The 21,225-nt window shown below is 36.7% G+C and overlaps 1 protein-coding gene across 8 annotated transcripts in view; it reads right to left on the bottom strand.

Annotated features, from left to right (window-relative positions):
• CEP78 (centrosomal protein 78) overlaps positions 205-21,225 on the bottom strand; it is a 43,616-nt gene continuing 22,595 nt past the window's right edge. For 2 of the 8 annotated variants that reach the window (NM_001349839.2, NM_001330691.3), the window contains exons 12-17: positions 16,911-16,988; positions 15,579-15,745; positions 14,352-14,523; positions 13,989-14,036; positions 13,192-13,453; positions 205-9,054 (exon numbers count right to left, since the gene is read on the bottom strand). In NM_001349839.2, the coding sequence (NP_001336768.1) occupies positions 9,044-9,054; positions 13,192-13,453; positions 13,989-14,036; positions 14,352-14,523; positions 15,579-15,745; positions 16,911-16,988 (738 nt within the window). In that variant the 3' untranslated portion in view covers positions 205-9,043. Of the gene's footprint in view, positions 9,055-12,819; positions 13,454-13,988; positions 14,037-14,351; positions 14,524-15,578; positions 15,746-16,910; positions 16,989-21,225 lie in introns of those variants that run through there. The other 6 variants (NM_001349840.2, NM_001330693.3, NM_001098802.3 and 3 more) reach the window with 3 other exon arrangements.

The following is a 21,225-nucleotide window of genomic DNA, read 5'->3' as shown; positions in this document are numbered from 1 at the left end:
AGGATGGTCTCAATCTCCGGACCTCGTGATCTGCCCGCCTCGGCCTCCCAAAGTGCTGGGATTACAGGCGTGAGCCACCGCGCCCAGCCAATGAATACCATGCCTCACTTGCCGTTCCAGCCAGGCATCACAAAAACGGCCTGCAGTTTACTTGACTGTGAGCAGCAGTGTGGACCTGGGTAGAACTCACTCCTGCAGCCTCTCTGATACATAGTTCTGTTCTTTTATTATAGTTGGTGACAATAAATATTTGTGGAATAATATTTGTGTGGGAAAGATGCAAAGGCCACATGGTGAAGGAAGAAAACAGGTTTGGAAGTCAACAAATCCTGCTTTTGCCTTGTGCTACTTGAAGCCCTCAACCAAGTGAATCAATACCTCTCAGGCCTCATTCCTTCTTCTTTAAAATAATAACACCTTTTACTCCTTGTAGGTTTGCAATATTTGGAATAATATACAAAAGTGTCTCCTATCTGGTTACAATAAGGAACTCAATTCTTAGGTAAGATTTAGGTGAAGTTTGGCTTTGGTATAAAGAAATTAGAGCTGGTTATTTGGCAAACTGATTTTAGTGTTTTCAAACTCTACTCAAATTTTATCATTTAAGCTAGGATTATCTAGCTTTCAAGATTTTGTGGAGTTTTCTTGTTTTCTTAAGGAGATAAAAGCCGCCTTCACATTTCAAGGACTTTGAGGACCATCTTTCTAACACATTAAATAAACCAACTAATCTTCACTGGTCTCTCTGGAACAAGCTAATTATTATTTAATCTATAAGTGGGTCCTTATCTATTTCTAAACTACCAAGGTTGCCTTTTTTTTTTTTTTCAGTTCACAGTGGTTTAAAATGTACAAACTGTACTAAGAGAACTCGGGCATTCTCTGAGCCCTTTCAGCCCCTATCACTCACTATGTGCCTTTGTGAGCAGCCAGCCATACCTTCTGAGCACCTCAGTCACAGGGCAAAGTCTTCTTATTTTTTAACTTTTTGACCAAATTATATGTGAAAATTCTCAGGTAGATGTATCAGTTTGAAAACTCAGGTTTTCAGTGTCACAAAAGGGTTCTGAAAAGGGAAATCTAAAGAAAATTACCAGAAGACTATAGAGAGTTAAAGAGCTCAAGGAAGGTAGGCTTTGGAAGTAATTTGCAAATGCAGAAATGACTTTTAGCCATAAAATAAAACAAATGTGGGAAAGACTTGCATTGCCCCACGAGTAGCAGTTTTGTCAGGGGTAAACAGAGCAGATGTTTGAAACACTCTAGCCAGTGTTTCCAAACAGTAGGACATTACCCATTAGTGGATTGTGAAACATACTTCGTGAGTTGCCAACATAATTTTCTTTAAAGGCAAGGAATAGAACAGAACATGAATTAGTCACTAGAAGTACAATCAGAGTTGTTTGATGCAATTTTCCATTAATTATACGTGCACACAAGGAAGGTGGGGCCAGGACTACTACTTTTAACTTTGCAGAAAGCTTCATTTTTACTGTGGGTTGTGGTTAAGTTAAAAACATTTGACTATGCCATGTAGGCGACTCCAACACTTCAGGAATACAAAGCTCTGAAAAGAGGTTATGTAGCAAAGCTCATTTTCATTCACATTGATAATAGGTCAGACACATTTTTGAAGAAAAAAATGGACAGAGCGTAAAGGATAACAGAGTACACATTTTCATTTTCTATGATGAAAAGGAATTTTAAAAATTGTCTGTTGTACATAAAAACTTTTTTTTTAAACCAAACAACCTAGAATTAAATGGAGTAAAATGTGAGAAGCCCCCCTTTTTTCCTCCTTCAGCAGACAAAACCGCTGTCAATAGCTTGATATGTGTTATCACAGACTCTTTTCTAGGGTGCACACACGCATATATGCTACGTATAGGTAAACAAGTTTTAACTATACAAATGTAAACAGGAGTGCGTGGTTACTGTGCAACTTCTTCGTCCTGTCAATGTCTTAGAAATATTTTCATGTCCACACTAGAGAGCTATTGTCTTTATCTGCTGCAGAGTGTTATATGTCAGAAATTGGTATGTACTAATTCAACAATTTCTGCATTTCTGTACATTTATGCTGTTTCTAGTTTTTTATTATCTCAAAAAACACTTCACACAGTCTTGTATCTGACTCTTTGGGCACTTGTGTGAATATTTCTTCAGGCTGGATGCCTAAAATTAGTCATTAGATCAAAGGCTGGAGACATTTCACATGTTGATACACACTGTCAAACTGTCCATCCAAAAGCTGTATCAATTTCTACAATGACTGAGAATACTCCTTTCCTCACATTATCTCCAGCACTATCACCAATCTTTAATAATCTGCCATTTCAATGTATTGAAAAATAGTATCTCATTTTAACTTTAATTTTCCTGATTGCTTACGAGGTTGAAAGTTTATGTTTATAGTCTGTATTTCTTATTTATAAAATATTTTTATAGCCTTTGTCCAATTTTTGTTGTTTGTAGGTGCTCTTTATATTATCTTAAATCTTCTGTTCTATTACATGTATTTTCCCACTCCTTTATTTATGAAATCTAATTTTATCAAAGTTTTGTAAAAAGTGAAAGGTTTTACTTTTTAAAAATGTAGTCAAATCTATCTTTTTTTTCATGGCTACTGGGTTTTGTGTCTTGGTTGGGAATGCCTTTCTTACACATTTATTACAATTTTTTTCCAGTATTTTCTTCTAGTTATTTTTAATTTCCATGTTTAATTCATCTTGATTTTTTTCATCCATGATATGAAATAAGAAAAAGTAGTAAATAACCTCAACATCATTTACTGAATAGTTCAAACCCTTCTCTACTGACTTGTGATGCCATTTTTTAAATACATATATATATACATTGCTCTGTTCCTAGGTTCTCGGTTCTATACCTGTGATTATTCCTGTGTGAACAGCACATTTACCCTAACTCCATGGATTGTTTTGAGATGTAATCAAAATTGCTTTATGCCTGATGACTTTCAGATTAATGTTATAATCAGGTTATTACATCCATTTAAAAAGCTTTACTGTGGTTATATGAAATTGCTTTGAATTTATAAATTAATTTGGTAGAACTATTTATTATGTTGGGTCTTATACATGGCATACCTCTATTTTTGTGTTTCTTTTATACCCTCTAGCATAGATTTATCCTTTTATTTATATAGGCCTTACATTTCTCTTGTTAATCTTATTTCTAGATAATATTTACTTCTCGCAGCTATTGTGGATGAGAGTCTATTTCCTCATACATTTTCTAATTGGTTATTGCTGGTGTACACACTTTTCATACCGGTGTGTTGGTGTTGTGCACAGCCTCCTTATTCAGCTTTATTAGCTGTAATAGCATGCCAGTAGATCATCACAGGGGGTTTTTTGTCCAAAAAAAAAAAGACCCCATATTTACAAATAACGAGAGCCTTGTCTCATTTCCCAAAATGTGTACTTTTTAGTACCGTTTTTATCTTAGCAAAAACTTTTCACCAAGTTTGTTTCCTGTGGATTTCTGTTAGGTATATTTAATGAAGCCAAGAAGCTAAGCTAAGGAAGTTTCCTTCTATTTCGAGATTGTTAAGAATACCAGAGGATGTTGAATTTATCACATACTCTTTCAGCTTGTGAAGATGACTATACTTCTTTAATCTGTTAATTTAGTGAGCTACAGTGAGTTACTCTTCACTCAATCTTGCATGTTTTGGTACAAATCTTCCTTGAAAATGATATATCTTTTGCTACAATGCTGAATTCAAACTGCTAGTTTTATTTTGGATTTTTTGCACCTACATTAATTGAATTTGGTTTAGTTTTCCTTGTGTTTTATTTGTGCAGTTTGCTATAAGGATTACGCTAACCGTATGGAATGAATTAGGGAGCCTTACATCTCTTTTCTATCCTCTGGAATGGTTTACAAATAAATGTGCCCCTGGAAGGTTTTTCTTTTTCTCTTCTTGAGTCGGAGTCTCACTCTTGCCCAGGCTAGAGAGCAGTGGTGGCATGATCACAGCTCACTGCAGCCTCGAATCCCGGCCTCAAGCGATCCTCCCACTTCAGCCTCCTGAGTGGCTGGGACTACATGCACGCACCACCATGCCTGGCTAAGTTTTGGGTTTTTTTGTTTTGTTTTGTTTTTTAATTTTTGTAGAGATGAGGTCTTGCCCAGGCTGGTCTCAAACTGCTGGTCTCAGCAATGTTCCCACTTTGGTGTCCCAAAGTGCTGGGATTACAGACATGAGCCACCACACCTGGCCCCTTTAAAGTTTTTCTAACTGTATTTTTTTTTTTTTTTTTTTGGAGACAGAGTTTCCCTCTTGTCTCCCAGGCTAGAGTGCAACGGTGTGACCTCAGCTCACTGCAACCTCTGCCTCCCAGGTTCAAGCGACACTCATGCCTCAGACTCCTGAGTAGTTGGGATTACAAGTGCCCGCCACCAAGCCCGGCTAATTTTTGTATTTTTAGTAGAGACGGGGTTTCACCATGTTGGCCAGGCTGGTCTTGAACTCCTCATCTCAGGTGATCCGCCCACCTCGGCCTCCCAAAGTACTGGTATTACAGGCATGGGCCACCGCACCTGGCCTCTTTTTAAAAATAAGTTCTTGTCCTATTTTTTCAATTTCTCCTAAGATGTTTCGTTTATTTACATTTTCTATTTTTTATCAATTTTTACAATCCATATTTTTAAACAGTCACATTTCATCTAGTCTTTCAAATTTATTGGTTTAACACTACACAATTATTTATAGTAAATTATAAAAGTGCTCATAATTAAAAATATCTCTTCTAGTTGTAGGTATCCTTCTAAAATTATTCCTAATGCTGGCAATTTTTGTTAATTACTTCTTGCTTTTTTTTCTTTATCATATTTTACAAAGGTTTATCTTTCATTTTTAAAAACCTGTGTTTCACTGATCAAAATTTGCTATTTTATTCATTTCTGCTTTTACCAATTCCTCACCTTTCTTTTGGTTTATCTCTTTCTTAGCTTTAAATGTTTAATTCATCTCTTTTGTCTTCTTTCTTCCTGGAAAGTAAATCAAAATCTATACAATTTCCTCTAACACCTCTTTGGTAGAATTCCTCAGCTTTAGAGAAGTTTTTATTAATTCTAAATAATTTGCAATTTATTTTGATTTCTCCTTTAAATGAGTTATTTAGAAGATCATTTAAAAATTTCCAAGTGGACAGGCCTTTTGTTACTATTATTACATTATACAGAGCACATGATCTGTATGATCTTTGAATTTTGTAAGTTTTTTACCTTCATAGGAATCATTTATATGAATGTTCTATTGGTTTTCCAGGAGAATATACTTTGTATTCATCATGGATACAAAATATTTATGTTCAATGGTATCCTTCATATCCTGATCTACTGATGGGCAAGAGGGATGAATTTTTTAAGCTCTAATATTATTATAGAGTAAAACTAATTTTTTTGAGAGTATGCAGTTCTATAAATTTTAACATATGTATAGACTCACGTTACCACCACCGCAATCAGGATACAGAACTGTTCATCACCAAAACAAACAAACAAACAAACTCCCTTGTACAGCCTCTTTGTAATCAACTCCTCCCAACCCCAACACCTGGCAATCTCCAATCTGTTCTGTCACTATAGTTTTGTCTTTTCAAGAATGCCATATAAATGGAATCATACAGAATGTAGCCTTCCGAGACTGGCTTTTTCACTCAGCATATGATGTTGAGATTCATCCGAATTGTGGCATGTTTGCCACCATATGGATACATCGCTATCCATTCACCTGTTGGAAGACATCTTGGTCACTATGAATGGAGCTGCTATAAATATCCACGCACAGGTTTTGTGTGAACTAAGTTTTCATCTCTCTAAATACCCAGGAGTGGGACTGCTTGGTCATATGGTATGTGTATGTTAGCATTTAAAGAATCTGCCAAACTGTTTTGAGTGACTGAGTCATTTTGCATTCCTACCAGCTGTGAGGAACTCCAGTTGCTCTGCATATTTATCAGCATTTCAAAATGTTAGCCATTCTAGTGTGTGTGCAGCAGTCGATCCACTGATTCTGAAAAGAGATGTCTTAAAGCTTCTTGTTATAACTGGCTGGCCATTTTTCCTTGTATTTCTAAATTCTTACCCTATAATTTTAAGATGAAGGTTTTTGTTTGTTTGAGACGGAGTCTCCTCTATGGCCCAGGCTGGAGTGCAGCGGTGCCATCTCAGCTCACTGCAAACTCCGCCTCCCAGGTTCAAGCGATTCTCCTGCCTCAGCCTCCCGAGTAGCTGGGATTACAGGCATGCGCCATGACACCCAGCTAATTTTTTTTTTTTTTTTTTGTATTTTTAGTAGAGACGGAGTTTTGCCATGTTGGCCAGGCTGGTCTTGAACTTCTGACCTCAGGTGATCCACCCACCTCGGCCTCCCAAAGTGCTAGGATTACAGGCGTGAGCCGCTGCGCCCGGCCTAACATCAAGTTTTTAAATTGCAGATATATTTTTTTAAAAAATCTTCTGCAACACTGTACTTATCAGCCAAAAGAAGCTTTTGTCCCCTTTACCAATTTTCACCTTGGGTTCTATTTAGTCTGCAGCTAACACAGCCACATTTACTCTTTAGCATCTGCCTGGTATATTTTTGTTCATCTCTTTATAATCTATGACAGCGTTTTAGATTTTGCAAATAGCACACAGTGGGATTTCATGTTTTTACTCAAGCCTAAGGATTCCAGAATTTAACCTGTTCATGTTTATTATGAGTAAAAAACTTGATCTTGCTATATTGTGGATTTTTTATTTCTATGTAGCTTGTTTCTTTTTCTTTCCCGTCTTGTTGGACCTAAAAATTCCATTCCCTCTTTCCAGGTAGTTTTGTAGCTATTAAAGTTGTTGACATACATTTGCTTCCCTCTCTTCTCATGGCAAATGGCAATTCTGCACTTCCCTGGTCTGCTGAACTCAGGCATAACCATGTGACTTTCTTTGGCCAAAGAAATGTGAACAGAAGTGACATATGTCACATCTAGACAGAAGCTTTAAGTCACAATATATGCTGCATCATACTGTCTTTCCTTGGACACTGCAACCAGCAATGTTCCAAATAGTGACGTTCCACCAGCCTCGCTTCCAGATTGAGGTTGATGTTGAATAGGGGCCTCTAGCCAATCTGCCAAAGGCAAACTGCATGGGCACAAATAAACCTATGTTGTTGAAAGTAATTAAAATTTGGGAGCTGTTAATGCAACATCACCTAACCTATCCTTACTAACATACCCTTAACTTTATATATATTTTAATATATTTTTTCAATCAATACCTAGAATCAAACACTACCTGTATCCTTCCCATGAATAAGACAATATCTAGGACAAGCTTTCACTTTCTGTGTCCTGCCATGCCTCCATTCATGTTCAAACCTAGAACTTTGGTTGGACTTTGTTTTCATATGTCATTAGTATTTATTTAGACTTTTTCTGACTACAGGCACCTCTGGTGATTATAAAAGGGGATTTGCAGGTCACAAAGCTGAAGTAGTTTGTCTCATATCTTTATCAATATCTTTATCAGTTTATTTGATCTAAACATCTTTCATGGGGCTGGGCACAGTGGCTCAGGTCTGTAGTCTCAGCACTTTGGGAGGCCAAGGTGGGAGGATCATTTGAGGCCAGGAGTTCAAGACCAGCCTAAGAAAGAACCCATCTTGGCCGGATGCAGTGGCTCATGCCTGTAATCCCAGCACTTTGGGAGGCCGAGGTGGGTGAATCACCTGAGGTTAGGAGTTCGAGACCAGCCTGGCCAACATGGTGAAACCCCGTCTTTACTAAAAATACAAAAATTAGCCAGGCATGGTGGTGTGTGCCTGTAATCCCAGTTACTAGGGGGGCTGAGGCAGGAAGATCACTTCACGGTTGCAGTGAGCTGAGATCGAGGAGGTTGCAGTGAGCTGAGATTGTACCACTGCACTCCAGCCTGGGCAATAGAGCGAGACTCCGTCTCAAAAAAAAAAGAAAAAAAGAAAAAAAGAAAAGAAAGAAAGAACCCAACTCTACAATAATTTTTTAAAACTTCGGCATGGTGGTACATTGCAGCTACTTGGGAGGCTGAGGTGGGAAGATAATTTAAGCCCAATGGTTCATGGTTACAATAAGCTGTGATCCCATCACTACACCCCAGCCTGGGTGACATGAGTGAGACCTTGACTCAAAAAAAAAAAACCCAAAAAACAAAACCACACGTTAATGGGTTCATTGTTCATTTTGCTTAGTTACTCTGAGAAAGATTTTTTCTAAGTAATTAAGTTGCTGATGAAACGTCTAAGACCAATTAATACCTTCCATTTCATGAATTTAAGCTTCAAATGAATCCATTCTGCTGTGTAGTCCATCTTCTGAGTGTTTCAGTTTCATAATCAAATTTTTAATTTCCAGAAACTCTAAATATTTTTTTCATGGCATCCTATTCTTTATGAACACAGTATCTTTATGAATTGCTGAAGATTTTGATTCATTAATTTAAAAATTTCATGTTTCTCCTAGTAACTATCTTCTTGAACAGGTTAATTTTAATTTCATGCCTCCTTTTATGTTACTGGTTTTCTTCAAATTTGATGATTCTTGGTTGTCCATATTTATAAATGAGGGCCTAAGATTAAAGTTGGAAGTGTTATTTTTTCATCCAAATGGGAATTCTGGTTCACTTTTAATGAACACAAATGATTACAGGCACTTATATGGTGATTATAAACGGAAGTGGCAGGTCATCATAGTTAGAGAGATCATGTGGGCAGCTTAACTTCAGTTCCTCTTCGGAGCCATTTTGGATAATTCCCTTATTCTCCGATCCCAGCATTTCTTGGGTCAGAGCTCCCACTTCAGATAGCTGCTTTCTTAGCCTGGTGGCAAACTCCAGAATCAGATGCTCCAAAGATGAGTGGAATGGCTTAGCTGTTCCATCCTTTAATTAACTGGTACTTAAATCATCTGCTTCTTATCTTCCAGAAATTTCACTGTTCAAATTTCTGGTTTTCCAACTCTGCTATTATTTTTATTTTAATATTTCTCCAGTCATTTCAATGGGATTCTAGAAGCATAAAAGAATGTGTTCAGTCATCCATGTTAATGTTCCAGCATGTAGTTTATAATCAGAATTTTTCAAAAAACCAATCATCTCCTATCATGCCGATCCTCTGAAAATCAAGTGTTACTGTCTTGAGATTAGAGATTCTGTAAATACCCATTTGAAATTGGACGAACTCATTATTGGATATAGAACTGGATGGGCAAGCAAGAGTGATGATTTTTGACCACTAGTAATTATGTGTGAATTTAAGACAGGATGACAAGCTCTTTGCTACAGTATCACATCTGAATGTTTTCTGAAAAGGGTCCTGTTTGCATACAGATTGTATATGTGCTGGTAAGTACTCAGTAAAGGTGCATAGTAATTTCTCAGTAAAGGAACACACTTGTACCTTTCTCTAAACCAAATGAAAATACCATATTTCAAAATTAAATGATATTATTTCAGGTATATTGAAAGTTTAACAATTACTTGCAGGGCTAAAATTGTATATATTAAGCAGCAAAATATCCACATTTATAACTCTTAATGTTACGGTTTTAAATGTTTGATAAAATATATGTAAAATATGGAAGAATTTTAAAACTATAATTATGTGATTGTGTGTAGGTCTTGTAAAAATCCATGGTTAAAGAAAACTGGGGTTATCAGGTATAAACTCATTTAACTTCTAACTCTTCCCATTTTTGTCTCTGTCCACACTTCCCAGGATCCCCCAACTCTACAATAACTTTTACATATTTTACAATGTGACCCCATCCCTGATTTTATTTTCTAATCCATATTTCTTTCCCAGATTCTCTAAGTTACTTATCTAACCATTTTGCACTACATGTATGGGAGTCATCTCAAGTTCATCAAGAATTCAAATATGTACATCCCCATCTGTTCAGATCTGTTTCTTTTAGTCTTAAGAACATTAAAGTATCTCATGTCCCTGCTTGTCTGAGATCCTGCTGCATAAATGAGCCTCTCCTTCTTTACTTGGTTCTTTCCTTTCACCTTACAAACATTTAAGTCCTTAGTCTAAAAAATTCCTCTTCAGCTAACTCCATTTCCTCTTATCATCCAAACTCCTTCAAAGAGTAGTCCTATACCTAGTTTTCATTGCCCCCTCAGGGCATTCCTGCCCCTCAATTTACTGCAATCTGGCATTTTCATCAACCAATTCAGTGAATTGCTCTCATTAAGGTCACCTGGGACCTAACTGTCAAAATCCCGTGGACACTTATTCTCTGCCATGTGACACTGTATTCTACTTCTTCCTTCTTGACACTCTTATCACTTGTCTCTCTCAGAATCCTTTCTTTGCTTATCACTTAAACCTTGACAGTCCCCACAATTCTGTGTTCTCATCAACTTTATGATTTTAACTACTGCTTATATGTGCTGATGACTTTCAAATTCTTTATTTCCATGTCTTCATATGTACATCCAATCATCTACCAGTCATTTCCTCCTGAAATCTGCAGGTGATGTGTTCAACCTGCTCCAAACTAAACTCTTCTTTCCAAAGCAGTTCTTTATCCCATATTCTCAGCCTCAATGATACCACCACCCAACCTTAGTCACAGAAACACAAGTCCACCCACTGCCTCTTTTTTCCTTACTTCCCATAACCAAATCTTATTTAATTGCCAAAATAAGATTAAAACTTACTCCCTCCCTTCATCTATACCTTATTTTAGATCCCTTTCTCTTCTTGCTAAGTCGTAAGTTACTAAATTGGCATTTCGTGGCACCAGTTGTTAGGCACTCCTATTAAAAAAGGATTCTATAAACAAGTATATTTGAGAAGGGCTGCATACCATATGCCTGTCTTGAAGACTCAGAATGAACATTAGCCTCTAGCACCCTTGAGAAGTACTACTGTAAAGAAACCTGCGGCCAGGCATGGTAGCTCACGCCTGTAATCCCAGCACTTTGGGAGGCCAAGGTGGGTGGATCACGAGGTCAGGAGATCAAGATCATCCTGGCTAACACGGTGAAACCCCGTCTCTACGAAAAATACAAAAAATTAGCAGGGCATGGTGGCGGGCACCTCTAGTCCCAGCTACTGGGGAGGCTGAGGCGGAGCTTGCAGTGAGCCGAGATCGCACCACTGCACTCCAGCCTGGGCGACAGAGCAAGACTCCATCTCAAAAAAAAAAAAAAAAAAAAGAAAAGAAACCTGCTTAATTCTATTTATGCGAGGGTCTCCTTTATGTTTGTCTAAAAATTATTTCAGTAGGAGAGGAATTGGGAGGATAAGTCCCATTTAAAAATCAAAGACAAATGCTCTTCAGAAAAGTGTGGAAAACTGATCTCCACACTTCTTTAATGTATCAGCCTAAAGCTAATGATCTAAAATGCAAGCCTGAGCATATAACTTCCATTCTTTACTAGCTCATTATTTACTGAAGAAAAAGAACCAGCTCCATGCAACGTGGATTATAAGACTCGATCTTGTTCCCCTAGCTGCCTCCTTGAGCGACATCTGCTAGTGCCTGATGACATTTCGGTAACTCTCAACTACTTGTGTTTGTGGTTCCTCAAACGCACATACTCACACTCACGGCTCTGTACTTCTGCTCATGCTATTCCCTCTGCCCTGAGTATCCTTCCCCTTCACCTTCTTATTCACCAGCCTGTAACTCATTACTTTTAAGACTTAGCTTAGAAATTAACATGACCTTTGGTCTCTTTAGTTGGCCTTTCTTGGCCCCACTGCTCTCCTCCTTTTTCCCCACACTGACTAAACTCCCTCAGCATTTCCACCATAGAATGTAATATACGGTATTACGACATCTGCTTGTGTATCTCCCCTTCACTCAACTGTTAAAAAGCCAAGATTACATCTTGTTCATTGTTTCATTCCCATAAGTCAATCCATGATTAATGAACTCAGTAGTATTGTAGTAGCCCTTTTGATAACAATCAGGCAAGACCATCCAGAAGAAATCTGACGCTCCAGCTTTTCTCTCATCTCATCTCTCAAGTCATAGTCTGGTTGTAGGAAAGGACTTATCTATGCATATTTTACCAGGGAGGGGTATTTACTCCAAAGATTTATATCCATACTCTTACTAACTCTGCCTTTGAAAAATTCAACCCAGGTGTGCTTTCTGATAGCCCCACTCTTTTCTACTTATAGTGTTCATTGGCTTTTTTCTCAGAATCTTCCTTAAGTGGTTCCTCTCTTAACAGTGAAACAGGATAGCTCATTAAAGTATGGGTTCTGGTTGAGATCCCAGCCCTACCACCTATTTACAGCCGTGCAACTTTGGGCAATTCACATAATCTGTCTCCTTAGACACCTCATCTATAAAATGGACATAATAATATTAATAGTTCCCTATCTTATAGGGTTGCTATAATCCATGAACATGCTTAAGCATCTAGACATGTTTGCTGCTCTGGTTATATATTAGAATATGTCAATGGCTTCTGGCCATGTGATATATATTTATTTCCAAATTTAACCAAATGGTAAAATTATTCCATTTATTCACTCCCATCCCTTTCTATTCATCGTACTCTGCTTTGTTGTTCTGTTTTCTCCCTCCACAGAATGTTAGTTCCTTGAGATTAAAGGCTTTGTTTTGTTCACTGCTGAAAGCCATAGCACCCAGAATGATATTATACATACTAGCCCCTCAGTAAACAATTGCTGAATCAATGTTGTAAACTATCAAAGGGAAAAACAGACCAAAAATTTCACTATAATAAAAAGTATAGAGAAATCTTCCTTTAGTGGCTTCCAATCCTATATTTTAAGACACCATATGCCATAATAAAAACATAAGAAAATTTATTAAAATTTAAAGGTAAAAACATAGTTTCAAAAGATTTAGTCATATGAAAGGTGTGATAGAGAATGGATGCTTTCTTGAAATTCAAAATCACATCCAAGAGTATCACTTTCAGAATGTTCTAGTGGACTGGATTTACTTTTATTTGTCTTGGATGAAACAGTCACTATTCTATTTTCTTTCTTGACAGAAACGTATTTTTTCAAAGACCTACTTTTAATTGGTTCATTAACCAAAGAACTAGTTTCCCTAGTTTCTTTGCTTTTCTGGTTTTCAGGACAGTCAGATCAGGAATGCAGGTCCTTTCCAGGGTGTTGCTTATCAGAGTGTTTTTTGGTATATTCACCTGTTTTGGTCTTTTTCTCTGAAGAAGATCTGCTATTTCTGGACAACTCCTCTTCTTTTCTTTGACTTCCAGTTCCAGAAGTCGCATCTGGTGAAGGAGAACACATTCTAGCAATGAATCCTTCAAAAGACTCCTGCCGCTGCTCAGTAGCTGGGACTCCTAGGTTGTTGCTGGAAGTTCCTAAGCCCTCTGGAGTAGAAACTGGGACAGGAAAGGAGTCGAGAGGCAAAGGAATTCTAGCATCACCTGTAATTTTCTGAAACTAGAAGGAAAAACAAAACAAAAATTTAGTGACAAACAAAGCCATCCATTTAAAAATCGAGTTCAAAACGTCAATGTTATTCTGTGATCTTAGAAGATTTCCAGGTCATTTTTGCCCTAATTATATCTTGCCAAGTGATTGCCAACTTAACTTAGCTATAGCCAGGAGTAGGTCCAGCACATTTTCAGACTTCTGTGTTTTCTGTAATTATTACTAATTTATGTCTCCCTCATTAAAAAAAAAAGAACCTTATTCTATAAGAAAATTAGTATCTTTCCTATCCTCTATGCACATGTAAGCAGTATCCAATTTATAAGTAGACTGAGTTTTCAAGTCGTCAGTTGCCAAGACCAGTCTGAGACTGGCTGAGATGGCAGATGGGGGCTCCAAGTAAGGCCAGAGGAAAAGCAGCAGGGGACTCCTGTGGCAGACAGGTTTGCCCCTCCCATTCCCATAACTAGATGATGCCTATAATATACTGCCTGTTATATATGAATTACTTATTCTGAAAAATTATCTATATCAGTACTTGTACCTTCATTAGTGTTCCTTCATTGTAAGCTGACTGCATACAAATAGAAACCTAGATGGAATATGAATAGAATAGACATTTATAAAATTGAAAATTGAAAATCATTTCTCTAATCTTTCATTTCTTCACTGAGGATAGTCTACTTTAAATCATAAAGTTTCAAAAGAACTTTCTTATTTTTTATTTACAACAATACAATATAAGGAAATGGGCACAAACTTACTAATCTCAGTCTTGGAAAGGACCCCAAAGATGCTTCTGGTCCCTGAGCATGTGCACAGATCATTATTCTTTTCTCTCTGACTTAGTAATTCCCTTTTTTGCTAATCACTTGTAGAATCACTAAGTTCTGTTCTATTCATTTACCTGGATATTTTGCATTTGCCCTAGGGCATTCTGCTTCGGTTCTGGTTTTTCATCTTCAAGCGCCTTCTTTTCTTCTTTAGGTGGATTACTAACAGTAGAAGTCATCTGGGGATGACCTAGTAATTGAAAATCTGACTGATCTATCCCAGCCATTGTGGCAAGCTGCCCAAGCCTGGTCGAGAGAAGAAAAGGAGGAAAAGGCAAGGATTACTAGAAGCACATAAGAACAGCTTACATTTCCCCAAACCTACAATCATTAAATACTTCTAAAATCTTAAAACCCATTATCCTACTCCAGACTACACCCCCATCCCTCCCAATTTCTCAGACCTTCCCACATTTATTCTCTGAGACAAACCATATCATATCATCCAATCCTTTAAGCACTGTCTCTTCCCCCAACAATGTATTAGATACCTCTTGACTTCATTTCCTTACTTATTCCGTATTTTATATACTGTCTCAGTAGAAGCTGCAATTTCTACCACACACCTACTGCCTCTCACCTTCATCCCCACACATCTATACCACCTTTCCTCCAGTCCTCAAGAATATGTTTGTTCCTTTCCTCACCAAACCGTTCACCTACAAAACATAACTCTATCAATTATCTATCTCCAACTCTTTCTTTCAGTATATTCGTTCAGCAAAATCATTCTTGGTTGAGGACCACTGATCCATATCTATATCTATATCTACCCTGCAGATTAATAACAATTTTAATATCTCAAACTTAATTTTAATTCAAACTTATTTAACAAGCAAAGTGAATAAAAGAAAAATTCCTATACATTCCTGAATACTTTCAATTAAAACTACCTTCAATTTGGTCTTTAACAAGAATCACAGCTACCAATTACTCTATCTACAAGTTACTCTTTTTTTTTTTTTTTTTTTTAAGAGATGGGCTCTTGCTATGTTGCTCAGGCTAACCTTGAATTTCTGGGCTCAAGTGATCCTCCTGCCTCAGCCTCCCAAGTAGCTGGGATTACAGGTGCAAACCACCAAGCCAGATAAGTTTACTCTTTCATATTGGGCCCTCAACCAAGGCAGGTTTGTCATTTTGCATTTCTTTTAAAATTAATTCCACATTTAAAAAATCAAGTGTATTACTTATAATTACACAGTAAATATGACTTCAGAAAGCTATAAAAATTGCTCAAGTTCCTCAGCAAAACACCATTAAAGTCATGGAGGGACGAATGTCATAGGGAGAAAGTAACTAACCCAGCATCTTTAAGGAGATCCAAGAAAGCATGAAACTTCTGAAAAGAATTCTCAATGCTGCCCAAAACACCTTCATCATCCAGGATCATATTTGTCAATGACTGTGCATGAAGGGCTTCAGACAAAGAGAAATTTATATTTCTTAACTGGGCATTTTCATGTTCCAGCTATAAAAGAAGATTGAAAATGTGTGACATGATTTTCTCTCATTATCACCAAAATAGTTTTTATGAAACTAAAATAAAACATTTTAAAAATGTAATTAATTTGCAGTTAATCTAACTCTCTACCAGTAAAGACAGACCATATTAAATAACAATCAAAACCTGGAGATAACTGACAAAACCTCCTACATAAATAATATAAATAGTATTTCATTAATTATCTTTCAAAAAGATCACATTTCTAACAGCTTAAATACATACCTGGATCATTCTATATTTAAAAATTAGCTGTTTAAGGTTTCCCTTAAATTAGACAATGAAATAAAGAGTAAGCATTTTACAATTTGGCTGTTAAGGACTAATTTTTGCCAGTAAAATACTTAATATATAAATTTAAAAGTCCTAAATCATACCCAATTTACTAACTGTACAATTACCAATATTGCCCCTTTGCTTCTTGAAAATATGTACTCTCCTGTACACCAAATCTATTTATCTAATACTACACATAAGTCTAACTCTAGTATTTCTCAGAAAGGCCACTGTGTTCACAAAGCACCTTTTGCCTTATACAATCAGGTGCTCAACCTTTATTGAATGATTAACTGTCTTTCAAACCAATGCATATACTTTCAAAAATTCCTCCTTAAACTTGCTTTGTAATAATAAATTATAGTTATGTAGAACTTTCTAGTTTATGCCCTGCTCTTATGCACATTCACCTAATTTAGTCCTCATGGTATAGATTTTTATCTTTCATTGCATTCTTACCGGTTTTCCATTATCTTTTACCTTATTTATTCATTTTCCTAATTCCCCTTCAGTAGATAGTCTCATCCCCATCTTTTACGCAATTGTATATACAGTATAAGCCTAATAAATGCATTCTTGAATTGATGCATCATGAACAGAAAATAAGCTCCAGTCATATAAAAACAGAGGAAAAGAAAACAAACTACAATTTTTACATTTTTAAAAAACATGCTTTTTGGAATACAGATCACACGGTCACCAAATATAAGTAAATACAAACATTAACATACTGTGACCATTTGCAATACACTATATTTTCTCATTTTAAAGTTTATAAAGTGTGTGTATGTATGACTTAAAGTTAAACCAAAACCAAAACAAAAAACTCTCAAAAGGTAAGAAAACTTTTATTTACCTCACTGACTCGTTTATCAACCTTAAGCCTTATCACTCTTTCTTCCTTTAACTGCTTTAGGCACTCCTCCAGTTTTTCCTAGTATTAAGTAATAAAGTAAATATTATAATTAATTCCCAATATGATCCCCAAAACTCTTCCAGCTGTTGAGCTCACCAAGTGTTTAGGGACAGAGCCAGAAGTGAACTCAGATATCAGGATTATAGCCTACTGCTTGTATAATATCATACCATGCTAGGGAAATTAATTACCAAAAACATCAGATTCGCACATTACAGATTTATTTCCACTCTTTCCAAAATAAATTTATGACAGCTCACCATAGAAGGCATACACATATATTTATTGAGTCAAATAAAAATTAAGGCTATGAAAAAGAAATTCTATTCTTATTTGTGGATCCCTTATAATAGGAAGCCCTATTAACACACTTAACACACCTGAATTATGTAACAGCAAATTAAAAGTCAAGTAACCAATTAAAAGGGACAGGGCTCTTTCTGGTAAAGATTGAAATACAAAAGGAATTAGACATGATGGAGATTCTCCAATTCCTCCAGAGTGTTGAGGGAAGGAACTCTACCATACACTTACATTAGAAAAGGAAATTGGTGCCACTTTCTGGAGTAATCTTTAGTAAATACTACCAATTCAATGTCTGGGAATTTACCTTAAGGAAATCACCAAACATGTGGACAAAGATTTATCTACCAACATAATGTCACAGGACTGTTTACAACTAAAAGCCTCCAAATTGTGATTGGTAAAAAAAAAAAAAAAAATAGCACATCCCTATGATGAAATGCTCTATGGAGCCACTAAAAACAATGATATGGGTCTTAACCAGAGTTAATGAATGGTCGTTTTTCTTGGGAGATGGTCCATAAGCTAAGTAAGATTCTCTGATGTGGAAGAGCATTCAATGATGTGACAAAATATTTTGATATCTTTTTAAGATAAAAGGGCAAATTACAAAATATCCAGGTGTGTGTACCATGCAGAGGTGGTTTTTATTTCCCTCAATGTTTTTCACGATTTTCAAAAATTTTCTCAAAGGGCATATATTTTTATACTCAGAACACATTTGAAAAATCAGTAAATGCCCTAATAACTACAAATTCTTTAATGTTTCATTATCAGTTAAAGCCAACCAAGTTTTTATGGGAAAAAGGAAAAAGAAATTGCAAAATTCCTCTACTTATTATTTATATAATGGTTTTAATATTTAGAACTGTTATCAAAGAACTTCTAACCAAACATGGAAATAAGCAAAAAACTTATCACAATTGGAGAAAGAAGAATAAAATCCTCCATTCCTAACTAGTTCTAAAAATCACATCAAAGCACAATTACATGAAATTGTTTCTCCCTCTAGTGGAGGAAGTGAGAACATAATGTTACATATTTATGAAAGTTCCCTCCTCATTACTCCTTTAAAGAGTAATTCATGCTCCTTAAAGAAAATAAGGAAATATGAAATGAAACAATTAGAAAGTAAAATCACTTAACATTCCACTACTTAAAAACGACTAATGATAAAGTGTTGTAGTAATTTTCCTCCCTGACAGCTGCTCCCCTTTCTCCCTTCTACCCATGGAAAAGTTTATATTTTTTCTGGAACACAACCCCAGAAATATCAAATGTTATCCTGTACAACAACCCTTGAATATCAAGGGCTTGAAGTATGCAGGCCCATTATATGCAGATTTTTTTCAACCAAATGCAGATCAAAAATACAGTATTCTGGCTGAGCACGGTGGCTCATGCCTGTAATCCCAGCACTTTGGGAGGCCGAGGCAGGCAGATCACAAGGTCAGGAAATTGAGGCCAACATGGTGAAACCCCGTCTCTACTAAAAATATAAAAATTAGCTGGGTGTGGTGGTGCGCACCTGTAATCCCAGCTACTCGGGAGGCGGAGGCAGGAGAATCACTTGAACCCGGGAGGCAGAGGTTGCAGTGAGCTGAGATTGCGCCACTGCACTCCAGCCTGGCAACAGAGCGAGACTCCATCTCAAAACAAACAAACAAACAAAAACAAGTATTCTCCAACGCAAAAGTTCATAAGGAGGACTGACTTTTTATATACCCTGGTTCCACAGGTCAACTGTGGGGCCTGAGCATGCCTGCATGGATTTGGGTATATGCTGGAGGATGGGGTCATGGAATAACCCGAGTATGCTGAGGGAAGACTGTATATCCAATTTTATGTTAGACATTCTTCCATTTAACACTGAATCAGAGAACTCATAACTCTGACTTTTTTTTTTTTTTTTTTTGAGATGGAGTCTCGCTCTGTCGCCTAGGCTGGAGTACAGTGGCCTGATCTCGGCTCACTGCAAGCTCCACCTCCCAGGTTCACACCATTCTCCTGCTTCAGCCTCCTGAGTAGCTGGGACTACAGGTGTCCGCCACCACGCACAGCTAATTTTTTGTATTTTTAGTAGAGACAGGGTTTCACCATGTTAGCCAGGATGGTCTCGATCTCCTGAACTCATGATCCACCTGCCTTGGCCTCCCAAAGTGCTGGGATTACAGGCGTGAGCCACCGCACCTGGCCAACTTTGACTTTTTTAGTGGGCTAAATAAAATATTCTACTGAGCCAGCTTACTGGTTCATGTAATCATTCCTTTATGGCTAACAAGACTGTTTCCAACTTTCAACATTATAAGATAAAATAACCACTTTTAAGCATGAAGGTTTTGTTCTCCCATATTTAGAATAATTTTCTTGCAATAAATAAAAAAGGAATTTTAGGTCAAAGCAAATAAACATTTTTAAGGCTCTGCAATACTTACATCCAAATTGCTTTCCAAAAGATTTCTAAGATTTTATACTGCTACTGGCAATGAAACAGTCTATCACTTGGATATATCACCTCTACTCTGTTGACTTACCTTCCCACTTAAAGTGCAAGATATTCAAGAGAAGGAAGTATATTTTATTAAGTGTTTATCCCCAGCATTTATGTGTACCACAAAGCAGACAACCAATAAATAATTGCTGAATAAAGAAAATCCCTGCCAATATAAGATTTATGTGTGTGTTAAAGACAGAATGTGTGTTTTTCTCTAATAGATAAAAGGTTACTGTCTTCCTTAAATGTGCACTGTCTTCCTTAAATGTGCATTTCTTTGCTTACTAATTAGTACTTAAATTTCTCTTTTAGGTTATTTTTTGGAAATTCAGATTCTCTGAGGCAAAGTTCTGGCCCTACCCATCAGCTGTATAACCTTGGGCAAGTTCAGTAACTCTAGGTCTTAATTTCCTCATCTATAAAATGGAGATAAATTCATGTATCATAGGGCTCTTGAAAGGAGTAAATTAACACACATATAAAACTGAGAAGAGTGCCTGGTGTACAAAATATGATCAACGCAAAATGAATAAACATACGAACAGAATTAGTAGAGAAGAGCTTAAAATGAAAGTTAATCTCCTCCTCACTCACACATCCAGCTTCCCAGAGGCAACCATTTCTTTAAGCAGGTTTTTTAAATCACAAAATATGCTATACATACTGAAAAGTGCATAAAACACACTATCAGGGAATACTCATGTAACCATATACCCAAGTTTGCAAGTACAACTAGCTAGCATCTCTGAAATCCCCCATATCTTCTACTCATCACAAGCCCCTCTCCTTCTCCCAGAATTAAACACCGTCCTCATTTTCCTAATGATCATTTCCTTTATATGCATGCATCCCTAACAATCTAGTTTTGCCTACTTCTAACTTTATGCAAAGGGAATCATAGTGAATGCACACTTCTGCATCTTCTTTCTTTCAACATTGTTCTTACAATTCATCTGTTGTTGCCTGTAGCTCTTGTTCATTCAATTTTATTACTTTTATAGTTTTCTCAGTGTACAAATGCAATCTAATTTTTAATTCTTAATGGACATCGGGTTGTTTTCAGGTTGGACTATTACAAATAATGCACGTGGACCCTTTTGCACCTGTTTTTCTGGTGCATATACCCTCAGATGACTTGTTGGGTCCCAACGTATTTATATACTTTCCATTGATAGACAATGCTAAACGCTTTCCAAAGTAGGTGTGCTCACTTATACTTCCGGTGTAAGCAGGGTGGAAGATTCTTATTACACTCCAGATCTACAATACCTGCCACTATAAAATTTTATTTTTTGCCAATCTGATAGGAGTGTAGTTGCATCTCATACTGATTTCAGTTCATTTTTCTCTGATTACCTATATGGCTGAACACTTTTCCATACTTATGGGCTACTTGGATTTTTTTGTGTGTGAGGTTTAAGTCAACCATTCTTCTTTTTAATCCTTCTCTAGTTCTAA

This window comes from Homo sapiens, chromosome 9, assembly GCF_000001405.40.
Source record: "Homo sapiens chromosome 9, GRCh38.p14 Primary Assembly".
NCBI classification, from domain to species: Eukaryota; Metazoa; Chordata; class Mammalia; order Primates; family Hominidae; genus Homo; species Homo sapiens.
Note: the sequence above shows the minus strand (reverse complement) of the source record. Positions and strands in the feature narration are given on the sequence as shown.